Genomic DNA, 20,290 nt, shown 5'->3' with positions numbered 1-20,290 from the left:
AAACTAGGTCTGTCTGATTCCAGAGCCCGCTTTCTTAACTTTTAATTCTGTCCAGTACTGCATACTCTACCCAAAGACCAAGTGAGATAACACATGCAAATGCTTATTTGAAAATGTATAGATTATCATACAGATGTAAGACAGAATAATTTTTGTCATCAATAATAAAAAGAATACTAATAAATAATGGGACCTCATGTCCCAGCTCTCTTTCATCCATGTCCTAGATAAGGATTTCCTTTTTAGTCATTTCTAACTCCAGACTAGGACAGGCCTGACTTTTACAGTCAAATCCCCTAAGATGGCCTCTCTGCCAGCTGACACTTCAGACTGCCATTTACTGAGCCATTATTGGTTCTAATAAGGTGTTACTCTGCATCTTTCCTCCCTGTGCTTTCACCTGTCAAATTATCTGTTTTCCCTGCAGTCCTGGGAAGTAGGTAGGAGTAGCTATTATTATCTCCATTTTACAGACAGGCAAGTTGAGGCCCAGGAGAGATTGTGTGGCATTCTCAAGTCACAGGACCCATCAATGGCTCAAGCCACTGGCTCCTCTCCTGGCCACATCCAGTTGTTTTGTTATATGAGAATCTGACAGTGGCTGCCTACAAACTAACAAATGACTCACATGTTCATCCAAGTTTCTTGGAAGTAGATTAAGTCTCTCTACCCTCAGTGAATTCCAGTTGTCTTAAACCAATAGAGCTGGTGTTCAAGCCCTATCCACACCAGAGTGGGAGACTTGAATGCGAAAATCCCTTTTTTGGTCTAATGTTAGATTACTCATCCCAATGATGTAGCCCTGTCCTGGTTCTGCTTCTTCTCAAAAACCATCAATCACTCCCTACTACTAAGAAGAGAAATTATTTCAGTGGCTAAGACTTGACTAGCAGATACCTAGAATGTCACCATTCTTTCATTTACAATTTTTATTCTGGTTCAAAGCACAGTCCCTCTTAATTTATTTATCTCACCTCTTTAAGGTTTTTCATAAACAGAATATGTTTAGGATTCTTTCTTGAGAGCCACAAGAGCCAGTCTTAGCACTGAACACCTGGGGCAGAGGGGTGGGACAATTAGAGGGGTTTGGAATCACCCATCCATTACAGTCCTTCCCTCTATATGCACACACATTATTTACAGATGAGAAAAAAGGTCCACGGGGCTTAGGTGACTTACTTGACCAAGAACAGACAGAGAATGAGTGACTTTAGGTCTCAGCCTCCCAGAACCCAGGTCAGGGATCAGCTTATTACACTGACTCTCAAACAAGCATTGGCAGGTGTATAACCCTGATCCACAGAGAGGAAATCCCTTCGCTGCCATTGGGGGGCTCGTTTAGGGTCTGATAGAGACCATAGGCATGCACAGGCCAAAGAACCATGCCCGTATGAGTTGGAAGGGACTTCAGAATGCTTCTTATCTCCCCCAAGGACAAATATCCTCCTACAGTAGAATATGCTCCTCAGGTGGCCACCCAGATTCTGCTTGGATTCCCCCAGTGATGAGGAGCCCTCCACGTTCAAACTTTTATCAATGAGTTGGACAAAGACATGAATGTTACAACTATCAGGTTTCTGAATGTCGGAATCAAGATCCTGAGAAGCTGGAGTAGAGAGCTGAAACACAGGGTGAACTGAATCACAGCCTCTATAAAGCCCTACAGCACTAAGTTGCAGAAAATTAGCCTGCACAAGCATAGATCAGGGATGACGGAATAATTTGTCTGAAAGTCTTTTTTGTTTTGTTTTATTTTGAGATGGAGTCCTGCTCTGTTGCCAGGCTGGAGTGCAGTGGCGCGATCTCGGCTCACTGCAACCTCCAACTCCCTGGTTCAAGCGATTCTCCTGCCTCAGCCTCCCGAGTAGCTAGGATTATAGGCACATGCCACTGCGCCCAGCTAATTTTTGTATTTTTAGTAGAGACGGAGTTTCACCATGTTGGCCAGGATGGTCTTCATCTCCCGACCTTGTGATCTGCCCCGCTTGGCCTCCCAAAGTCCTGAGATCACAGGCATGAGCCACTGCGCCTGGCCTGAAAGTTTTTATTATCCACAAACTCAACAGTTAATAGTATAAGCCAGGTACTAAACAGTTGTATTACTAGGTAATATTTGTTGAAAACTATATCACGTATTGTGCTCGGCACTTATGTGCATTAACTAACTTTCATTCTTGAAACGACCTGCAGAAGTAGGGAAACTAAGGATCAGAGAAGGCAAGCCATTTGCCCAAGGTCACACAGCCAGAGCCTGTGTGTTGTTAGCCACCTTCTCCTGCCTTCCACATCTTTGAAATGGGGCTGGGAGTTACATGGAGGCAGAGTTGGTTCATACATATATCCTAAAAGGGTCCATTCATGGCCAGGTAGACACAGAACTAATGTACCCACACAATTATTCAAAAAATTGACTACTGAGTATGCATGTGTGCCCTCTTGTAAATGTGCACATTCACTCAGATGCAGGTCTCTTTCTGGGCCTGAGGAGCCAAGGAGCATGAGGCCCCACCCCAGACAAGTGCCTGCTCGCAGCTTCCCGGAACAGTCTGTGGCTAGGCCAGCAAGCTTAGACTCGACCAGAGACCAGTGGCTTCCTGCTGTGTTGGGGCACAGGCTGGACCTTCTCCAGAGGCTTCAGCGGACCCCACCCTCAACCCAGCCCAGGCTTTGATTCTGCCTTGGCATTAAAATCTAATAACGAATATGTCTTGAGTTTTGTCTACATACCAGGCACTGTGCTGAGTACATTAACGTGCACGATCTTATGTAGTCTCCATAAAACCCTATGAATATGAATGCAGTACTCTTAAGAGCCCTCTCTCACAGATGAAAAAGCTGAGGTTCAGGAATATTGAGTAACTTTCTAAGGTTGAACAGGTAGCAAGTGGTAGAGCTGTGATTTGAAATCAAACAGTCAGATTCATAAGTGACCACAGCTCTTTCCAGAAGCACAGTCAGGAGGAAAGAACCTGGCTCTAATTCTCACCCTGTGACTTTGGGCAAGTCTCTTTCTTTCTTTGGGACTTTATTTTCCAGCTTCCAAAAGGAAGGAATGATCATGAAAGGCTCTTTCAGCGTTCATTCTGTCATTGTGTTTCCTAAGTCTAGATTCTTCCATTTCTCAACTAGTATTGATTGAGCCTGGTTCTATACCAGGCACTGTTCTAGGCACTAGGGAATTCATCTGTGAATAAGATACACAGAGCTCCTCTCTTCATGGAGTCCAAGAAGACAGTCATTAAACAAATAAACAAGAAAATATTGGGTAGTGATATATGTCATGAAGAAAATAGGGCAAAGTGATAAAGAGGGGAATTGACAGGAAGTCTACTCCAAACAGGAGCTCAGGAGGTGACATTTAAGCTGAAAACTGAATGACAAGAAGGAATTATTCATGTGAGAATCTTAAGGGAAGCAGTAAGTGCAAAGGCCCCGAGGCAGGTCTGGGTTTTGTGTGGCTGCAGCTTGTGAACTGGAGAAGTAGCATGGGCCCAGGAGGTGCAGAGCCTTCTAGGCCAGGGCAAGGAGTTTCTATTTTAATCTAAGTGCTATGGGAAGCCACTGGAAAGTGTTAAGCAGGGAAGTCATATGAATTGATGTACGTTTACACAAGATGTTTTAAAATAGTGGTCCCTGGGTGTTGTGAACTAGGAAGGTAGTACAAGGAGCCTAACATGCTTCTGCGCCCTGCAAGCTTGTTCACTCATCTAAACCTGGGGCCAGGAAACAGCTGTGCAGACACTGTTCCCTCCCTCAGCAAACTACTCCCCAGGTGTGCAGGTCCTACAGCCTGGGCAGGTCATGGGCACCAAGCCACCATCCAAGGGTGCATTCTCTCTGCATTTTATCCTCCTCCAGGGAGATCCCTCCCCTTCCCCTTCCCTACAGCTCATCTTAACGGCGCCTGCATTGCAAGGCACCGGTGCAGCCATCGAGCAGAGTATCTTGCTGGGGCCTGCCCAACACGGGTGCTGACCTGGTGAACAGGAAGCTCTCCACACAGCAGGGCAGGCAGGGCTGGGAGGCTGCGTGCACCCTGGGCTCACAGAGCTGTGGAGCCAGTGGACCTGGGACTGGGGTGAGGACTCACTTTCCCTTGGGGTTTCAACTTCAAAAGCAATGCCATCCTGCATGGGTTGGGGGCTGAATGACTCAGGCGTCCCCTTCTGCTTGTGGGGGCTGGGTCAGGGGTAGGGTGAGTGTGGCTTTTGCCTGGGGCTGGCCCCACTATGGGCTGCAGCTCTAAGCATGGAAGGACAGTAGTGGGCAGGCAGGGCGGGAAACGTACAGCAGCTCTTTCTGCCACTAACTTTCAGACCTCGAATGAAGAATCTGCCACCTTCCTGCCCTCTCTTTTCTGAGGTGCCTAAGCTTAGGGCACCACCAACAGAATCTCAGGAGTTGGGAGGCGGGTGGTAGGGAAGCTCGAAGGGTGGGACATATTGAAATTATTTTCTGTCACAGGCCTTCAGACCCCGATTTAGGCAGACTTTTCTATTCCTGCCTCTTATCTCGGAATGCTGTCAGCATGATCTTGGGGAACCCTGTGCCCAGTTCACACAGGACTCTGGCAAGACGGGGCTCCAAGCCTCTCCTTCCCCCTTTGCCTTGGAAGTTTAACTCTTCCTTGGCTTTGAAGAGCAAGGCAACTGGAAAATCAGGTCTGGCCAGTTTCATCCAAGAATGCTCCAGCGCATCTGGCTGGCAGCCATGAAGCTCCTAGGAATCAAGGCTCCCAGGGGCAAGCCAGGCATCAGCCTGGTGCACCAGACCTACACATGGCCCTGCCAAACCCTGCCCCGCTCCTCCTGCCCCTTGCCCCATCCTTGGCCCTGGTGAGTCTCACATTTTCACCCAGGCTGGAGTTCGGGGATGGGCTCTGTGGGAAACAGCAAGGGTCTAAGAGAGGCGAAGCATTTATTCATGATCAGTTCAACAAGAACTAACTCCCAGGGACTAGTTCTTACCCGGCCACACACTGTGTGACTTGGAGCTTGACTGATCTCGACTCTGGGGCTCTATTTCCCCATCTATACTCATCTATGATGAAAAGCAGGGACAGAAGCCCATCATCTCTAATGTCCATTTCAACTCAGACATTCCAGGAGCCTGGGAGTTTTCATGTTCCAGGTTACATGATGAGTCAGAGTCATGCCCTGTCTATAAGGGACATGTGGTGAAACAGGTATAAATAGGACTGGGGCAAGGAGGCAACCCTGGTCTGTGCAAGGAGCTCCCACTAGCTATAAGGCCCTGGGCAGCTCCCTTCCTTTTATGAACCTTAGTTTCCTATTATCAATAATGGCTGACATTAAATTAGAACTGACAATAAACTAGGCACTCTGATAAGTCATTTACCTTTATTATTTCACTGAATTTTCACAACAATCCTAAGAGATTGATGATTTTCTTATCCTTATTCTACAGAAGGTGAAATGAAGGCTCATGAGGTTAAATAACTTGCTCTAAAAGTCACCTACCTAGCAAATGACAGAGGCAGGGCTGACAGCCAGGCAGCCTGATGCCACGCCTGGGATCTTGGTCACTTTGCTTTCCTGCAGCCTCTGCATGTGCGGAAACAGCTCAGTTTGGCTAGAGCTCAGCCCCAGTGGAAAGGCCTTGTAGGAAGGAGAGAGAATAGTAGTTTAGAACCAGATAGCTAAACTTGGTTCCTGGCTAAGAGTTGGGACTATCTCACCATCGCCCAAGGAGTCACAGAAAGTTTTTGGGAAAAAAGAGTAAGAGTTCAGGACTGTGTTCTAGCTGCTGAGTGTCTTTGAGAGAGCATTTTGAACTAGTCTGCTATTCTTCAGCCACGGGGTTTCTCAACCATGGCACTATTGACATTGGGGCTGGATAATTCTGTTGCAGGGCTGATATGGTTTGGCTGTGTTCCCACCCAAATCTCATCTTGAATTGTGGCTCCCATAATCCCCCTGTATCATGGGAGGGATCCAGTGGGAGGTAATTGAATCATGGGGGTGTGTTTTTCTCATGCTGTTCTCGTGATAGTGAATAAGTCTCATGAGATCTGATGGTTTTACAAAGGGGAGTTCCCCTGCCTACGCGCTCTTGCCTGCTGCCAAGTAAGATATGACTTTGCTTTTCCTTTGCCTTCTGCCATGATTATGGGGCCTCCCCAGTCATGTGGAACGGTGAGTCCATTAAACCTCATTCCTTTATAAATTACCCAGTCTCAGGTATGTCTTTATTCTCAGTGTGAGAACTGACTCACACAAAGGCACTGTCCTATGCATTGTAGGTTGTTTAGCAGTATCCCCAGCCTCTACCTGCCAGATGCCATTAGCACCACCACTCCCAAGCTGGGTCAGCCAAAAGTATCTTCAGACATTGCCAAGTGTCCCTTGAGGGTCAAAATCACCTCCAGTTAAGAATCACAGCAGTAGAAACCATTTTTTCCCCCTAACTTGCACCCTGTCTTTTATTTTCTGCCCAGGGTTTCGGGAGTTTTCCACCATGACTATTGCCCTGCTGGGTTTTGCCATATTCTTGCTCCATTGTGCGACCTGTGAGAAGCCTCTAGAAGGGATTCTCTCCTCCTCTGCTTGGCACTTCACACACTCCCATTACAATGCCACCATCTATGAAAATTCTTCTCCCAAGACCTATGTGGAGAGCTTCGAGAAAATGGGCATCTACCTCGCGGAGCCACAGTGGGCAGTGAGGTACCGGATCATCTCTGGGGATGTGGCCAATGTATTTAAAACTGAGGAGTATGTGGTGGGCAACTTCTGCTTCCTAAGAATAAGGACAAAGAGCAGCAACACAGCTCTTCTGAACAGAGAGGTGCGAGACAGCTACACCCTCATCATCCAAGCCACAGAGAAGACCTTGGAGTTGGAAGCTTTGACCCGTGTGGTGGTCCACATCCTGGACCAGAATGACCTGAAGCCTCTCTTCTCTCCACCTTCGTACAGAGTCACCATCTCTGAGGACATGCCCCTGAAGAGCCCCATCTGCAAGGTGACTGCCACAGATGCTGATCTAGGCCAGAATGCTGAGTTCTATTATGCCTTTAACACAAGGTCAGAGATGTTTGCCATCCATCCCACCAGCGGTGTGGTCACTGTGGCTGGGAAGCTTAACGTCACCTGGCGAGGAAAGCATGAGCTCCAGGTGCTAGCTGTGGACCGCATGCGGAAAATCTCTGAGGGCAATGGGTTTGGCAGCCTGGCTGCACTTGTGGTTCATGTGGAGCCTGCCCTCAGGAAGCCCCCAGCCATTGCTTCGGTGGTGGTGACTCCACCAGACAGCAATGATGGTACCACCTATGCCACTGTACTGGTCGATGCAAATAGCTCAGGAGCTGAAGTGGAGTCAGTGGAAGTTGTTGGTGGTGACCCTGGAAAGCACTTCAAAGCCATCAAGTCTTATGCCCGGAGCAATGAGTTCAGTTTGGTGTCTGTCAAAGACATCAACTGGATGGAGTACCTTCATGGGTTCAACCTCAGCCTCCAGGCCAGGAGTGGGAGCGGCCCTTATTTTTATTCCCAGATCAGGGGCTTTCACCTACCACCTTCCAAACTGTCTTCCCTCAAATTCGAGAAGGCTGTTTACAGAGTGCAGCTTAGTGAGTTTTCCCCTCCTGGCAGCCGCGTGGTGATGGTGAGAGTCACCCCAGCCTTCCCCAACCTGCAGTATGTTCTAAAGCCATCTTCAGAGAATGTAGGATTTAAACTTAATGCTCGAACTGGGTTGATCACCACCACAAAGCTCATGGACTTCCACGACAGAGCCCACTATCAGCTACACATCAGAACCTCACCGGGCCAGGCCTCCACCGTGGTGGTCATTGACATTGTGGACTGCAACAACCATGCCCCCCTCTTCAACAGGTCTTCCTATGATGGTACCTTGGATGAGAACATCCCTCCAGGCACCAGTGTTTTGGCTGTGACTGCCACTGACCGGGATCATGGGGAAAATGGATATGTCACCTATTCCATTGCTGGACCAAAAGCTTTGCCATTTTCTATTGACCCCTACCTGGGGATCATCTCCACCTCCAAACCCATGGACTATGAACTCATGAAAAGAATTTATACCTTCCGGGTAAGAGCATCAGACTGGGGATCCCCTTTTCGCCGGGAGAAGGAAGTGTCCATTTTTCTTCAGCTCAGGAACTTGAATGACAACCAGCCTATGTTTGAAGAAGTCAACTGTACAGGGTCTATCCGCCAAGACTGGCCAGTAGGGAAATCGATAATGACTATGTCAGCCATAGATGTGGATGAGCTTCAGAACCTAAAATACGAGATTGTATCAGGCAATGAACTAGAGTATTTTGATCTAAATCATTTCTCCGGAGTGATATCCCTCAAACGCCCTTTTATCAATCTTACTGCTGGTCAACCCACCAGTTATTCCCTGAAGATTACAGCCTCAGATGGCAAAAACTATGCCTCACCCACAACTTTGAATATTACTGTGGTGAAGGACCCTCATTTTGAAGTTCCTGTAACATGTGATAAAACAGGGGTATTGACACAATTCACAAAGACTATCCTCCACTTTATTGGGCTTCAGAACCAGGAGTCCAGTGATGAGGAATTCACTTCTTTAAGCACATATCAGATTAATCATTACACCCCACAGTTTGAGGACCACTTCCCCCAATCCATTGATGTCCTTGAGAGTGTCCCTATCAACACCCCCTTGGCCCGCCTAGCAGCCACTGACCCTGATGCTGGTTTTAATGGCAAACTGGTCTATGTGATTGCAGATGGCAATGAGGAGGGCTGCTTTGACATAGAGCTGGAGACAGGGCTGCTCACTGTAGCTGCTCCCTTGGACTATGAAGCCACCAATTTCTACATCCTCAATGTAACAGTATATGACCTGGGCACACCCCAGAAGTCCTCCTGGAAGCTGCTGACAGTGAATGTGAAAGACTGGAATGACAACGCACCCAGATTTCCTCCCGGTGGGTACCAGTTAACCATCTCGGAGGACACAGAAGTTGGAACCACAATTGCAGAGCTGACAACCAAAGATGCTGACTCGGAAGACAATGGCAGGGTTCGCTACACCCTGCTAAGTCCCACAGAGAAGTTCTCCCTCCACCCTCTCACTGGGGAACTGGTTGTTACAGGACACCTGGACCGCGAATCAGAGCCTCGGTACATACTCAAGGTGGAGGCCAGGGATCAGCCCAGCAAAGGCCACCAGCTCTTCTCTGTCACTGACCTGATAATCACATTGGAGGATGTCAACGACAACTCTCCCCAGTGCATCACAGAACACAACAGGCTGAAGGTTCCAGAGGACCTGCCCCCCGGGACTGTCTTGACATTTCTGGATGCCTCTGATCCTGACCTGGGCCCCGCAGGTGAAGTGCGATATGTTCTGATGGATGGCGCCCATGGGACCTTCCGGGTGGACCTGATGACAGGGGCGCTCATTCTGGAGAGAGAGCTGGACTTTGAGAGGCGAGCTGGGTACAATCTGAGCCTGTGGGCCAGTGATGGTGGGAGGCCCCTAGCCCGCAGGACTCTCTGCCATGTGGAGGTGATCGTCCTGGATGTGAATGAGAATCTCCACCCTCCCCACTTTGCCTCCTTCGTGCACCAGGGCCAGGTGCAGGAGAACAGCCCCTCGGGAACTCAGGTGATTGTAGTGGCTGCCCAGGACGATGACAGTGGCTTGGATGGGGAGCTCCAGTACTTCCTGCGTGCTGGCACTGGACTCGCAGCCTTCAGCATCAACCAAGATACAGGTACTGGGGGTGGGGTAGGGTGGGGTGCCAGGGCCAGAGGTAGATGGGCTGAAGGAAAAAGAAGTCAGCCTGCGGGCTGAAGGAAAAAGGAGTCAGCCTGCAGGCTGAAATGAAAGGCAATAAATAGGGATTCTTTTTCCTGTGTATTTTATTTTTAATTTGTTTTTACTGGGAATATATGTCTATATATGTGCATATACACATACACATATATGCACATATATTACATATTCTGTTTATAAAAGTAATACATCTGATTATAAATTTTTTATATAAAATTTAAAAACGAATGCTCCCCCATGTTCCATCACCCCAGATATAATCTTTATTAACAATTTGGTCTATAATCTTCTAAAGTTTCTTTCTTTGTATCTTATATATCATATATTGTTCATTTTATTATTATGAAAATACAGTATAATAGACACTATTCTAAAATTTACTTTTTTCATGTCATATAATATCAAGACATTTTATTTGTCAGTTCATTTGTTTTAATTGGCCACATATTATTCTACCATGTAGGTGTAATATTCTTATTTATATACTTTTACTTATATGCCTGGGTCTCTACAGAAAAAAATTCTTTTCTTTTTTTGAGATGGAGTCTTGCTCTGTCACCCAGGCTGGAGTGAAGTGGTTCGATCTCGGCTCATTGCAACCTCCGTCCCCCGAGTTCAAGCGATTCTCCTGCCTTAGGCTCCCGAAAGTAGCTGGAATTACAGGCACCCACCACCATGCCCGGCTAACTTTTGTATTTTTAGTAGAAACGGGTTTTTGCCATGTCGGCCAGGCTGGTCTCAACCTCCTGACCTCAGGTGATCCACCCGTCTTGGCCTCCCAAAGTGCTAGGACTACAGGCATGAGCCACCATGCCCGGCCGAAAAATTCTTAAAAATGAAGTTTCTAGGTCAGAGGATAATGTGCATCTTCTGTGTTAATAAGTATTTCCAAATTGCTCTCCAAAAAGGTGACACAACCACATTCCTTTTTTTAAGTTTCAAGGAAAGTAAGTGTAAGTCAGCACTGTTCGAGTGCCCACTACTGGTAAGGCCCTAAGATAGGTACCTGGGGGAGATCCCACGTGAATAAAGGCAGATCACTGCCTTCAAGGAGTTTGCAATTTGGTAGGTGATTTATTTCCACCAAAACCAAGTTGTAATAACTTGTTCTCAATGTTGGCTTTCAGCAACCTTTGTCTCTTAATGCCAGCCACTGAAAGAAAACAGCTTAATTTAATTAAGCTGTTTAATTAGAAAGAGCATTAGATTAAGAGTCAATCCCAGACCCAGTTCTTCCACATACTTGCTACATGATCTTGGTCAAGTCGTGCTCCCTCTCTGAGCCTCAGTTTCCCCAGCGGTCGTCTCTGTTATGCTATGGCTGTGAGCATGGGCCACGCCCTCTCACACAGGCCCTGCCAGTACAGCATGATCCATGAGAACTTCAGGTGTAAGCTTCTTTTACTCATTCTTGGACCCTCAACTTCTAGAACAGTGCTAGCCCATCGTAAGCAATTTGTGGAGGGAATGAACTAAAAAATGAAGCTCAGCCCCTTAAAATCATGAAAATGATGGAGAAGGGAATGGCAATTTATTCTTCAAATTCCTAACCCTGAAATTGATTATCTACCAGGACATAAAGTGTGAAGGAAACAGTTTAAGGACAACTATAAGAAAACCTCACTTACAGAATGTGAAATAGATCAATGGAATTTGGGTTTAAGTAGCCAAGAGAAAGTAGATAAACTACCACTGTCTTCTGAAAACCCTAAATATGCTCACATGCTAAAGGCATGCGTCCATTTTAGCAGAGGAAGGCTCTGAGAGGTTCTAGAATAAGGATATTAATTCCCCTGTGTTCAACTCAGCATCTCCCACATTATACTGGTAGAAGCAGTTCCTTCTTTTCATAGAAAATCTACTTATTAATACCCTTTCCACAGTGCGGTTTGGGGAATGGTGGGTAAGGGTGATTTCTAAAGCCACTTTGAGCTCTAAAGTATTTTGGGTTTGCTGACTTACTGTCCCTAGGAATGATTCAGACTCTGGCACCCCTGGACCGAGAATTTGCATCTTACTACTGGTTGACGGTATTAGCAGTGGACAGGGGTTCTGTGCCCCTCTCTTCTGTAACTGAAGTCTACATCGAGGTTACGGATGCCAATGACAACCCACCCCAGATGTCCCAAGCTGTGTTCTACCCCTCCATCCAGGAGGATGCTCCCGTGGGCACCTCTGTGCTTCAACTGGATGCCTGGGACCCAGACTCCAGCTCCAAAGGGAAGCTGACCTTCAACATCACCAGTGGGAACTACATGGGATTCTTTATGATTCACCCTGTTACAGGTAAGGATCCAAAAAGCTGGGTGAACAGGGATCTCTACAATGGTGGTTCTCAAATTGTGGGCCCAAATCGGCACCATCAGCATTACTGTGAACTTGGAAATTCAAATTCTCTGGCCCCACCCTAAATCCACTGAATCAAAATTTCGAGGGTGAGGCCCAGCAATCCGTGTTTTCACAAGACATGCAGGTGATTCTGATGTGTTTCAAATGTGTACTAACATTTGACAATGCTGTTCTACAAAGTCCATCTCTATGTGAAAATGAAAAGGATCTGTCTTCATGTTTCTTTCCTTGGGGCCCAAGGAAACTAAGCAGGTTGCCCATTGGTCAACCTGAGACTAGTTAGACCTCCAAGTGGTCCCAACCTGACTCTCTCCTGAGTCATGAGCCACAGGTTGAATCCCTTAACCCTAGTTCCAGACTGATCTCAACCCCGCCCAGAGTGCTGGCAATGTGAATCCACTTATGTTGTCAACCATCTCAGGAGCACCTGCCCAAAGCCTTCTGGGACAAGGATGGTGGATGGTTGGGAGAAATCCAGATGTTGGCAGCTGGCAGCAGTGAGTCAGACATTGCTCTTAGAGGTGTTTTGTTTGATTTGCTTAAGCTTTAAACAATTATTTTTTAAGTTGCAGCCAACACATAAAATTAGAAAATTCCACAAAACATTCCAGGTTTCTGGTTGTTTTTTAAAAATGGAAGGATCTGGCCACATTGTCTTCACAGTCCCGCTGGGCCACAGTGGCCCGGAGCCAACAGCTGCTCCCTTTGTAGACCTGGCACAGAAGCTCTGATCCCTGCAGGTCCTGCCATCCCCTGTTGTGTTACTCCCAGCCTGCGTCCCTCATTGACACCACCTGCCTGGCTTTCCTTGGTGCTGCAGTGTGAGAGCTGGGTCCCATTGCTGCAGACACTTCTTAAAGCCTCATCTTCCTCTTGGGGGAGGAACAACAATCCTATTGTAGAGAAGGCTGACATATTCCCCACTGAACCCAACATCCTGTTTTCCGTCTCCAACAATTTACTCTTGTCGGAGAAGGATGGAACCTGGTGAGATTGGAGGAAAGGAAGAATGCGAGCGGGCAGTCCCTTTATTCTTAAGACAAAAGGTAACCAGGAGGAGGATGACGCTGGGACTCCTGGAGCAGACAGAGGGGTGGGTGAGATGTAAGTGCCTATTTGCCTGGTAACATTTATTGTCAACCTTTCCTGTTAACCTTTGACCTCAGGGTGTGAAGTAGTTCTAGGAGGAGGATGCTTTTCTCCTGGAAAACAGGCTGAAGCTGGCTCTCTACCTGGGCCTACCCTGTCCCTCCCTGTCCCTCCCTCTTCAGGAGTGGGAAGAGATCTCTCACCTAAGGCATTAACTTCTCAGCTTCTTCCAAATCATTGTTCTGTTTACTATCAACAGTTCCCTGACAGCAGGTCTGGCAAAATGCCCTAGAGGGCAGAGATGTTCTTAGCCTTCCTGCAGTTGAAAGGAAGAAATCTTTATAAGCATGAACACTTTCAAAAGTAGAACAAATCACCAATGCGCCCCCAGCCCACCTTTCTCATCACCACCATTACTTTGTCCCACTTCCCTACTTGGATGCCTTGTATGGCTTCCCTGTGCTCTTAAGCTAAAGTCAGTAAGCCAGACACAGTGGCTCACACCTGCGATCCCAGCACTTGGGGAGGCCGAGGTAGGAGGATCGCTTGAGCCCAGGAGTTTAAGAGCTGCTTGGGCAACATGGCGAAATCCCATCCGTACAAAACATACAAAAATTAGCCTGGTGTGATGGTGTGCACCTGAAGTCTCAGCTATTCAGAAGGCTGAGGTAGCAAGATGGCTTGAGCCTGGGAGGTTGAGGCTACAGTGACCCATGATCGCATCACTGGTCTCCAGCCTGGGTGACAGAACAAGAGCCTGTCTCAGAAAGAAAAAAAAAAGAGAGAGAAAGTCAGATTCTGCTGTGTCCTACAAAGTCATGCCTGGTCTGTCCTTGCTGACCTCTCTGGCCTCATCTTGCCCCTCTCCTGCTGCCCCTCCCCATGTTCCAGTCACATGGCCTGCCTCAGTCCGGGCCCCTCCACGCAGGACTTTGCATGTGCCATTCTGTTTAACAGGGGACTCTTCTCTCCTTTTGTCTGGTCAATTCCCGCTCTTCTTTCAGATTCCAGCCTAGCTGTTCTTTCCTTAGAGAAGTTTTTCCTGATACCCTAACACACTTTCCAGCACCACCTACTCCTTTTTGCGACATTTATCATACAGGACGTTATATTCACTTGTGTGATTATCCCATTAATCATCTGTGTCCCTCACTAGACTTCAAAGTTATCCCATTAATCATCTGTGTCCCTCACTAGACTTCAACGTTCCCTGAGAAAAGGGACCCTAACTGTTGGTGCCCACCATAATTTCTTCAGTACCTGTCACACAGTAGGAGCTCAACAAATAATTGCTAAATGGATGAATGAATCTCTGCCAGCATCCACAATGTTTTGTTAAGCCCAAGATTCATTCACGTACTCAGCAAATGTTTAAAGGTGTCTGACCTTACTAGGCTTCTAAACAATGTGCTGTGGAGTTATATGAAGATAAATAAAACACAGTTTCAGGTCTTGAGAAATTCAGTCCATTAGGAGCATGAAGATTTGGATATAAACACAATAGAACCAGTTTGAAAGGGCATAACATCGTAAACTATGTGTAGATACAGTGCCCTGGCCACTCAGAAGAAGGAGGAAGCTGCTCTGGGTGGTGGATCTGCAAGGGCTTCATGGAACAGGGGTGGTTATGCTGAGCTGGAGGGTGGGAGGATTTTGAGAGGCAGCAGTCCGGGAGAGCAAATGGGCGAGGGTGACGACACAGGTGCTATCTGAGAGGGAGGAAGACCCTGATCTTGTTGAAGACAATGCAAGTAGATGGACTTTCTCAAGGTTTATCTCAGTTCCACCGCTTATAAATAATGACATCTTGGGAAAGTGAGTTACCTGCTCTATGCTTGAGTTTTCTCACCAGTGAAATGGAGATTATAATAGAGACCACCTGGGCTGTTGTGAGAATTAAATGAGTTAATATACAAAGCTATAGAAAGAGCTTAGCTGAATGCCTGTGCATGTGAGAGCTCCAAAAGGGTTGGTTCTTTGATGCTGCAGGAGGGAAGAAGAGGAAGATGAAGATGGAAAGGCAGCTTGGGCAAGACCTAGATTGTGGTGACTCAGGGTAAGAGGAGTTAAAGATCAGGAATCTATCACAGGTGGAATCAACAACAGTTGGAAAACTGTTGGATGAGGGAAGATGAAAGGTCATATATGGGTCTGAGATAGGGTGTTGGGGAAACATTTGTTTGGAGGAGAAAAATGGTAAGAGTGAAGTCCACTGAGCGCCACCTCATCCAGGAAGGGTGAGAGGGGTTTTCTATGCACCTTAGTGAACATGCACACAGCCCTATGGAGGTGGTTCTGCTATGTCCCCATTCTATTCAGGCACTTCCTGGGAACCCTGATACTGACTTCAGAGAGGAGGATGAGGATGAGAATAGGGGCAACTGGGCAGGATACCTCGGGGCATTGATTCCAGAGGCACAGGACCTTAGAAGGTCAGGGGAGGCAGTGGTGAGAGGCAGAAGTAGAAAAGAAAAACCAAATGGGGTTGGGGGAGAGAGGGAGAGAGAGACAGACACACACACACAGAGAGAGAGGCTGAGATTCAGAGGCACAGGGGGAGAAGAGAGAGAGGAAGAGCTGGAAGAGAGGAGGAGGATGGTGAAGGAGAAACACAGAAAAGAGAGCAAAGGGAGAGGAGAGAAGGGCAGGGAGGAAAGGAAGGGATGGAGCCAGATAGAAGGCTTACCTGCCAAGACCCCCTAGTCCTTGTGCTCTTCCTGGGGGACCCCAGGCCCTAGGCCCTTCCCCATGAGGCCCCTCAGCTTGGGGCCAAGCTGGGACAGTATCCAGACCCTCCTGTCCTACAGGAGTGTGTCTTTCCTTCCACTTGTCCTCCTTCTTTGACTGGAAGGGCGCCTGAGTGTGGAGCTTCTCAGGAGCCTTCTCCAATCCCTTGCACGCCAAACTTCAGTTAGGGAAGAAAAAGCCGGAATGACTTGCGTTCAACTGCACAAGGCGAGAACACGCCCCCGACAGAGCCCACATCCTCACACCACACTCCCATTGCCATGACTGGAGGCTCTGGCCCAGAACTGAATCCCTGTTCCCCTCGCTGAGCTCCCAGCTCTGTCACTGAGCCCCCCAGGGAAACTCTGGGCTCTTCACTGAGCTTCTTTTTCTACACTTAATTCCATTATCTCAATCACTTCATCACCTAAACAAGATCAAGAAAGTGAAAGTGTTCAGATGTTCCATTAACCTCGACCAGTAGCTCTGCTTTCATTTACAAGAGACCGTCCACACCAGCCACGGCCTCTTAGGCCATGGCTTTGGATGACCTTCTGGGCCCCTGAAAACCTCCACCTCAACTTCCCTGAATCTTGCAGAGAGCTAGCGCCTTCTCTACCCAACTTCTTCAATTACGGATGAACTGAGAGGAGCCCAGAGGAGCCCCCTCTCTATTTATCTGCACCAGCCTGTCATGGGAAGAGCCAGTACTAGGACCCTAGTGAATAATAATAATAATAAATGGGGAAAATGCTGTCACTTCATGGTTTCTCTGAAACGGAAGGCAATAGTTGTTATTTCTGCTGTAGCTCCTGACAAGCTGCTTTTTTTTTTTTAAAGGAGTCTCGCTCTGTTGCCCAGGCTGGAGTGCAGTGGTGAGATCTTGGCTCACTGCAACCTCTGCCTCCTGGGTTCAAGCAATTCTCCTGTCTCCTAGTAGCTGGGACTACAGGCACACGCCACAACATCCAGCTAATTTTTTTTGTATTTTTAGTAGAGATGAAGTTTCACCATATTGGTCAGGCTGGTCTCGAACTCCTTACCTCAGGTGATCCGCCCGCTTCGGCCTCCCAAAGTGCTGGCATTACAGGTGTGAGCCACCGTGCCCAGGCGACAAGCTGCCTTTTTTACTCAACAATATATTGTGTGCAGCATTTCCCCATCTACAGAATGTATTTTGAATAGTTGCTTAAGATTCCTTTTTATGTAAAATGTATACAACTCTTCCCTTATATGGATTGTGTCCAATTATTGGCTTTTTAAAACGTGACTCAGGTGAACACCGTGTGAACTCATCTTCCCAGATGTATGCACTGATTTCCTTAGAATACATTCCTTAAAGTGGCATGAGAAGTTCAGAACTTAAGCCAGAAAGATGTTAAAGGTCACCGAATTCAACTCCTTTTGCAGAGGAGGCTGGGGTTGAAATAAGGTTGGGAGAAATAAGCAGGAGCTTCCTGGAGTCAAGGCGAGGCACAGAGGGGATTAGTGGGTCCCCTGTAAGGAACCTGAGGCTGGAGCTGGGGGTTGGCAGGGCCATAGGAGGGGAAGGGAGAGGCTGAGGCAGGAGGTAGCGTCCTTCCTGGAGGCCTCCCAATCCCAAAGACCCTGAATGCTTTCCCAGCCTCACCATGACCCCTAACCCATTCCTATCCCAACATATGAATTCTCAGAATTGAATTGGTTGTCAGGACTTTTTCAGATGTAAAGATAGAAACCCAATGCAGGTTGGCTGAGGCAATAAAAGACATTTGTTTTCTTACTTTACAGAAAATTCCAAACATAGTATGGCTGCAGGCACAGCTGTAGCCAGTGTTGGAATAATGTAATGAAGGCGCTGCCTCTGCTTATCTCTTGGCCTCATTTTCTCTGAGTGGGTCTAGCCTCAGGAGTCCCTCTTCTTGTTGCTGTCAGGCTTCCTTCTGTTCTCTCAGCACAGCAGCAGAAAAAAGTCTCTTTCTAGAGCTCTTGCAAAAGTCCCAGAATGGATTCTCATCAGACAGACGGGTCCCTTGTCTATTGCAGAGCCAGTTGCAAGGGCCAGGGGGATAGTCTGTGCTGACTGGCTATCCTTGGGCTATAAACTTCTCCCCAGGCGGGTCAGCCTCACCCCAGATAATGAAGGACTAAAGCTAGGAATGGTTCTAATTCCTAATTAGAACCTAATTCTCCTGGTTTCCCCTCAGGAGAACTGGGGTTTGTTTATTGAAAGAAGAGGGAATGAATGATGAGCAGAAGACATCCAGATGCAAACATGTTCCATAGATTTTAGTGACGAGGAACCAAAACTGCATCACAGCAGTGCTGACATTGACCCTTGTGCACCAGTAACCCTACTGGTTGCTTCCAGCTGGCAACCATCCTGACGGGAGGCTGCTCGTGGTGGGCCGATTGCTGAAGTTTTGATGTATCACCCCTGCCTAATAGAGAAAGCAGGAAGTAGCTGGGAACTTCACCTGACACATTATCTCTGCTGTTCTCTCCCAGCTCCTCACTTCCCCCTTGCTTTCCCCCGAGTTTCATTTCCCCTTAGTGTTCTGATGCTCCTCAGCCTACAGTGAGGTCATATTCCAATAGATCCATCATAAGTTGAAAATGCTGTAAGTCTAAACTGTGTTTAAACACCGAACCTACAGAACATGATACCTTAGCCTTGCCTACCTCGTATGCGCTCAGAACACTTGCATTAGCCTACAGGGGGCAAAATCATCTCACATAAAGCCTATTTTAAAATAAAGTATTGAATATTTCAACACTTCAGTATTTGTACTCAATACTTCAGTATTTGAATACTGAAGTGAAAGTAAAAAACAGAATGTATGGGTACTTGAAGTATGGTTTGTACTGAATGTGTATCACTTCCACACCATGATAAAGTAGGAAATTTAAGTTGAACTATCCTAAGTCAGGGATGGTCTTTACATGTTCTTCAAAGATCAGAAGAATTCTTATCTGAGATTTGAATGTAATTCTTGAAGTTGCCTCAGTAAAGTGGCCCTGAAAGTCTTCTGCTCATGTCTCTCCCTTATCATCTCTCTCTCAGGTCTCCTATCTACAGCCCAGCAGCTGGACAGAGAGAACAAGGATGAACACATCCTGGAGGTAAGTAATGGTGGTGAATCCATTTGTGGTGATTTGTGGAGCCATGTTAGGCCTTGGAGCCACGTGCATGTCTAGCACTGTGGCTGAGGAGGGTCTGGGTTCAGGGAGGAAGATATACGTGAGCTGAACCTTGCTGGATGATCCTTGGATCTTTGCTAGCTCCTCAGCACTGAGAAGGGAAGGAGTCTGAAACTGTGCCCAGGCTGGGTAGGCACCATTGATTGATTAGTGATGCCTGCAGGGAGTGAAGGAGAGGGGAGCAGTACATGTGTGCTATGTACTTACCGAGTCCAGTCCATCCCTCCTGGCTCAGGCAGACAGAATCATTCTCGGTCAAACACTAGGTCAGTAGCAGAGCCAGGATGAAAACCAGACCTTTGTCTTCTAGATCTGTGCTCTTTCTAGGATGCCTCTAAAATCACATAGGCATTCCTGGTGCCTGTTTCAATGAAAGGCTTTGGTTAGTGACCTAGAGGGAATGAAATCAGAAGAGAAGCAGATCAGGTGGAAATCTAACTATTTCCCCTCCTGAGCTGTCCTTCACTGATGATCTCTTCTAGTTTTAAAAGTATCAGGAGGGGGGAATACATATTCCTCAGCAGGAAACAAATTTTGCCTTTGATACTTCCAGGCTCTGCACATTCTTTTTCCTTTGGTAAGAAACAGGTGTTATTAGCCAGGCACGGTGGCTCATGCCTGTAATCCCAGCACTTTGGGAGGCTGAGGCGGGCAGATCACTTGGGGTTAGGAGTTCAAGACCAGCCTGGCCAACATGATGAAACCCCATCTGTACTAAAAATACAAAAATTAGCCAGGTGTGGTGGCGGGTGCTTGTAATCCCAGCTACCGGGGAGGCTGAGGCGGAGAAGCACTTGAACCTGGGAGACGGAGGTTGCAGTGAGCTGAGATCGTGCCACTGAACTCCAGCCTGGGCGATAGAGCGAGACTCAGTCTCAAAAAAAAAAAAAAAAAAAAAGAAATATATTATTAGTAAGAAGTAGCTAAATGGCCTTCTAGAATTCCTAGGGACTGAAAGCATTCTCCACAGTTCAGTAACAGATATTTACCTTTAAACACCAAAGTGTTTTTTAAAATTCAGAACCATTTCAGGTGGAAATCTCCTGTCTGATGTGATGCCCTTGGGGCTATTGATGCATGTGATTATTTGCCTCTGCATTAAATAGCTACTGGTTCTGAAATGGTTTTGGGGCCTTTTCTCACTCTG

The 20,290-nt window shown here is 47.2% G+C and overlaps 2 protein-coding genes across 10 annotated transcripts in view, besides 2 other annotated features; one reads left to right on the top strand and one right to left on the bottom strand.

Moving 5' to 3' along the window:
• Nucleotides 1-20,290, top strand: part of FAT2 (FAT atypical cadherin 2) — a 90,728-nt gene that overhangs the window by 19,411 nt on the left and 51,027 nt on the right. For all 8 annotated transcript variants that reach the window (XR_007058588.1, XM_017009225.2, XM_011537600.3 and 5 more), the window contains 3 exons: nucleotides 6,458-9,736; nucleotides 11,770-12,084; nucleotides 19,007-19,065. Coding sequence is in view for 7 of the 8 variants with exons in the window: in XM_017009225.2 (XP_016864714.1) it covers nucleotides 6,478-9,736; nucleotides 11,770-12,084; nucleotides 19,007-19,065 (3,633 nt within the window). In the remaining variant the exon portion in view is untranslated. The remainder of the gene's footprint in view (nucleotides 1-6,457; nucleotides 9,737-11,769; nucleotides 12,085-19,006; nucleotides 19,066-20,290) is intronic.
• Nucleotides 3,528-4,040: an enhancer, noted in NCBI's record as "H3K4me1 hESC enhancer chr5:150950930-150951442 (GRCh37/hg19 assembly coordinates)". NCBI's record gives its function as "activates a minimal SCP1, AML or CMV promoter by ChIP-STARR-seq in primed H9 embryonic stem cells {active_cell/tissue: H9 hESC(primed)}" and the evidence as "EXISTENCE:reporter gene assay evidence [ECO:0000049][PMID:30033119]".
• Nucleotides 5,937-6,026: an enhancer, noted in NCBI's record as "active region_23458". NCBI's record gives its function as "activates an Ori minimal core promoter by ATAC-STARR-seq in GM12878 lymphoblastoid cells {active_cell/tissue: GM12878}" and the evidence as "EXISTENCE:reporter gene assay evidence [ECO:0000049][PMID:35858748]".
• SLC36A1 (solute carrier family 36 member 1) overlaps nucleotides 19,324-20,290 on the bottom strand; it is a 211,490-nt gene continuing 210,523 nt past the window's right edge. For both annotated transcript variants that reach the window (XM_017009217.2, XM_047416925.1), the window contains one exon: nucleotides 19,324-19,504. In XM_017009217.2, the coding sequence (XP_016864706.1) occupies nucleotides 19,450-19,504 (55 nt within the window). In that variant the 3' untranslated portion in view covers nucleotides 19,324-19,449. The remainder of the gene's footprint in view (nucleotides 19,505-20,290) is intronic.

Source organism: Homo sapiens, chromosome 5, assembly GCF_000001405.40.
Source record: "Homo sapiens chromosome 5, GRCh38.p14 Primary Assembly".
NCBI lineage: Eukaryota > Metazoa > Chordata > Mammalia > Primates > Hominidae > Homo > Homo sapiens.
Note: the sequence above shows the minus strand (reverse complement) of the source record. Positions and strands in the feature narration are given on the sequence as shown.